The sequence below is a fragment of the Homo sapiens genome, chromosome 9 (genome assembly GCF_000001405.40).
Source record: "Homo sapiens chromosome 9, GRCh38.p14 Primary Assembly".
NCBI classification, from domain to species: domain Eukaryota; kingdom Metazoa; phylum Chordata; class Mammalia; order Primates; family Hominidae; genus Homo; species Homo sapiens.
Genome location: NC_000009.12, coordinates 38,899,969 through 38,903,775, shown reverse-complemented (window position 1 = coordinate 38,903,775; position 3,807 = coordinate 38,899,969). Strand labels below are relative to the sequence as shown.

At 43.9% G+C, this 3,807-nt stretch overlaps 1 long non-coding RNA gene across 1 annotated transcript; it reads left to right on the top strand.

Moving 5' to 3' along the window:
* The first annotated feature begins 222 nt into the window (after positions 1-222).
* LOC105376044 (uncharacterized) lies at positions 223-2,615 on the top strand. Its single transcript, XR_929609.2, has 4 exons — positions 223-368; positions 1,532-1,646; positions 1,998-2,205; positions 2,426-2,615. It is a non-coding gene; the product is annotated as an uncharacterized LOC105376044 (long non-coding RNA).
* Positions 2,616-3,807: the final 1,192 nt, after the last annotated feature.

Sequence of the window (3,807 nt, the reverse complement as noted above, 5' to 3'; positions counted from 1 at the left end):
AAGGAATTGATTCCAGTGTGAAACTTCCTCCTGGATGCACATGCAAAATCTTTAGTTTTGTGTTTCTTCAGGACACAGCTTGGGATCATCTGTGATGTCCTCCTTTCCCCGGCAAAGCGGATAATGCTGCCATGGGGCCAGGCTTGCCCTCATGCAGCTAGGGGTCACATCTGCCTGCACACAGCATGGGAGAGTGTGGAGGAGGAGGGACAGGACCCTATTTCCAGACAATTGTCTAACAGGAAGAGGATCATAAAATCCTAAGATTGGCTAATCAACCTCCCTGTTCTACAGATGAAGAAACTCACACTCCCAGGACAAGTGACCTCTCAGGACCACACAGAAAGAGAGTTGATGTAATAATTGTAGTAAGTGTTAGAACTAGCCAACTCTGATTATGGGCTGACTCATTTCATAGCACCTTATATAAATTATGCCTTTTAAATCTAGAAATTGGGTTCTGCTGTCATTATTCAGAATTTTAAAATGACAAAACTGAAGCCAAGTGAGATGAAATAATTTGCCTAATTTTCTGAACTCAGAAGTGGCAGAGCTGAGCGTTCCACCCAGGCAGCCTCGGCACTTTCAGCTTAGGGACCCAGCCATGTATTCAGTGCACCAGCACGCAAAGCCTGCCATTCCTGAAGGCTGTTTTTGAAAATGTGCAGGTTACTTCCTTGAGACCCACATTTGGCAGACCTGACCCTTCTCACCATAGTGTAATCAATGTTCAGCCCCCTTCTCCAATTTAAAGTGACAATTAGTAGGCTCTGTGAAGAATGAGGCATTTTCAGATGTTTTTGGAGAGAGGGGTCGTGATGCACTTATCTGGAGATTACTTGTCTAGGAAACTAACTACTGAAGTGCATGCAAATGAAACTGTTGCAGACACAACAAAACAGTATACAGTCAACAGCTAGACTATACTCAGCAAAGCGCAATAAAAATCCAGTACACTTAGATTTGCCTAAACTTTAAATGAGTTTTCTTTGAATACCTAGTATTTATCCAAGGGAATTGTTTTTAAACTTAAATGTGTATACGTATCTTGTGTTTGTGTGCACACACACACAAACACCCCCCCACACACACATATTCCATGTTCCATAGTATAGTATAGGAAACAAGGGAACACATCAGCTTTTGCCATCTTCATGACAAGCCAGGAATTAAAACTAAGTAAATTAAATACTAATGAAATATAATCCTTTAATTTCTAAGCAAACATTACTTTGACTTTAATTTAATCAACAAGATTATTTAACGTTCATTGAAAAATCCATATTCCTGCGTTTATACTCATGAAGCTTAACCAATTACAGAAGAATACAATACAAATAGTTTCTAAATGGACATAGAATTTAAATTCAGATTTTAATGAACTAACTTCTGGACATTGTAGAGTAGATAATGTAGTCAGAATTTTGCAAACGTTGGAGTGTATACTTAGTAATGGAGTTGATTAATAAATGTAAATGCAGTAAGATTGAGAATGGAATAGATTAAAACTTTATTTTATTCTTCTTGCCAGCTCTGTGGCTACATGGGTGTGAACCAGAACGAGGCAGAAGGGATCTATTTTTCTATTTAGTGCCAATGAGCCCCCATGGATCTATGCAGGGGCAGGGTGCTTTGTGCAGATGAAGGTAAAATCCCTCCCTGAGAGCAGGTCTGTGCTCAGGGGTGTTGGCTTCTCCATTCACAAGCGTCAGGTGGAGCTTGGGTGGAAACCACCTTGATTCTTCAGGGCAGCTGCTCTGGTTTGTTCCAGTTTTAGAGTTAGATTGTTTCCTTTAAGAGCCCTCTACCTCACAGTAACAGACTCTGGTATGGATTTGCATTAGTTGTTTATTTTGTTTTGTTTTTGCCCAAGTAAGAAATTGCACATTTTTCCTTGCACTCTAAAGTCAAAAAGCCGAAGTGGGAATCATTATAAATGCAACATCTGAGTTTCTGTTATAGCTCCTTGTTCTTGGAAATGTTTCATTTGCATCAAGGTCGTGCCAGACATGGTAATGAAGGCCCTGAACAGAGGGAGAACCATCAGGGACTGCTGTGTGAGCAAAGCGTGGACTTTCATCCTGAAAAATGAGTGCATCCGTAACAACATCCTCAAACATAGACGGCTCTGATTAGCGCTCCAGGAGCCCTCTCTCTAAAAACATCTGAAAATGCCTCCTTCTTCCCGGGGCTCACACGAATGGGGTAAGTCTCACGAAGGAGGGGCCTTGGTGCTCAGGAGGTGAAGCGTGCGCCGTTCTCCAGGTGTGCACGTGGGTCCGAGGAATCAGGAGCTCAGGCCGCACAGCCCCACTGCTGCCGATCACTGCTCACAGCCCCTGAGCCCTGCTCAGAGGCAGCAGCATTTCCTACAAGGGGCAAGGTGCGGCAGTCACCAGGACACCCTGGCTCTTTTTTGCAACAGCTGCTGCATTACCTAATAGCCACCCATGGCTTCACGAGGAGGGATGCTCACAGCCCCCTGCAGAGCAGCCGCCTTGTTCCAGCGCCACAGGGAAGCGTCTGCCTTGACTTCCACCCACGCAGTGTCCGCTTCCACACAATCACCCTGAACGGCAAAGGCTAAACACTTTGGTAATCCAAAACAGTAAACCCCAATTGTGCTACTCATAGTCCAATTTCTAAAATTTTACACTACAGCTGTTGAAAAATTCTAATGTTTATTTCACTGCCAGAATCAGCAGGGTAATGGATGTTTCAGCAATAAACATCATGAGCAACACATGAAATCTAATTAGCATCATTCCAATTTGCAACAGTTAAATAAATTATTACTCTGGGCTTTCTCCCCCCTAGATACCAATGCTTAGATTCCTGTAAAAATGTCAACTCTAGAAAAATCCTCTTTCCACTTCCAATTTTTTCTAATTCAATCTGTTTTCTAGTATTTCTTTAGAAACAAACTAATGAAATTCTCTATCACCCAGCTGTATTTACAACAGAGTAAGCTTTGTGACACCCTATACATGGAGTTTGCACAGCAGCAGTATCCATGGGAAAAAATAGTGGGACTGTGTCCCAGTGATCACAGACGAAGGATGCCAGGACACTCTGTCAAAGGAAACTCAGACCTCCACATAGGATGCTTGACTCAGGTCCCAGGTACTGTCACCATGACTGTCCCCCACAATTTTCCCAGGAGGGAGGCACGAGTAGGAGAGAACAGCCCCTGTGATGTCAGGGCCAACCTGTCTCCAGCCTCCGTTCTGCTAAGTGACTCTAGAAGTTCCTCTCCCATCTCTGGCCCAACTGACCATGTGTCGGATGCCTGGGAAAAGGGAACACAGACTTGATGATGATTCCTGGTTCCGAGCTCATGTCACTGTGCTCCCAGGCTGTTGACACAAGCAGGAGCCCTGGGTTTCTTGGATTCTAGCACATAGTTAATAACACAAACCCTGACAGCCTAGGTTTGAGCTGGGGTTGGTTAGGGGTGGGCGGTGGTAGGGGAATAACTTGGGAAAGTTATTTAACCTGCCTGGGTCTAAATTTCCTTGTCGCAAAGTAGGGAAAATAGTTGTACTTACATGGCACGTCTGTGATGTGAATTAAATGTCTGGCACCTAGAACAGTGCCTGGCCCCCAGGATTTGGTGTGTAAAGAGTCCAGGTATTGGTACGAGTCCATGTCAACTGTCTTCCCTGATCCCCAAACCCAGCTGCACCCATTAGTAACTAAAATGAGGCGGGCAAAGGGGATGAGTGGTGAGTGGCAGTGATTGCTAAAGATAGGTCCAGAGACTATATTTCTTAAGACATTCTGGGTCAGGAATAATTACATATAATC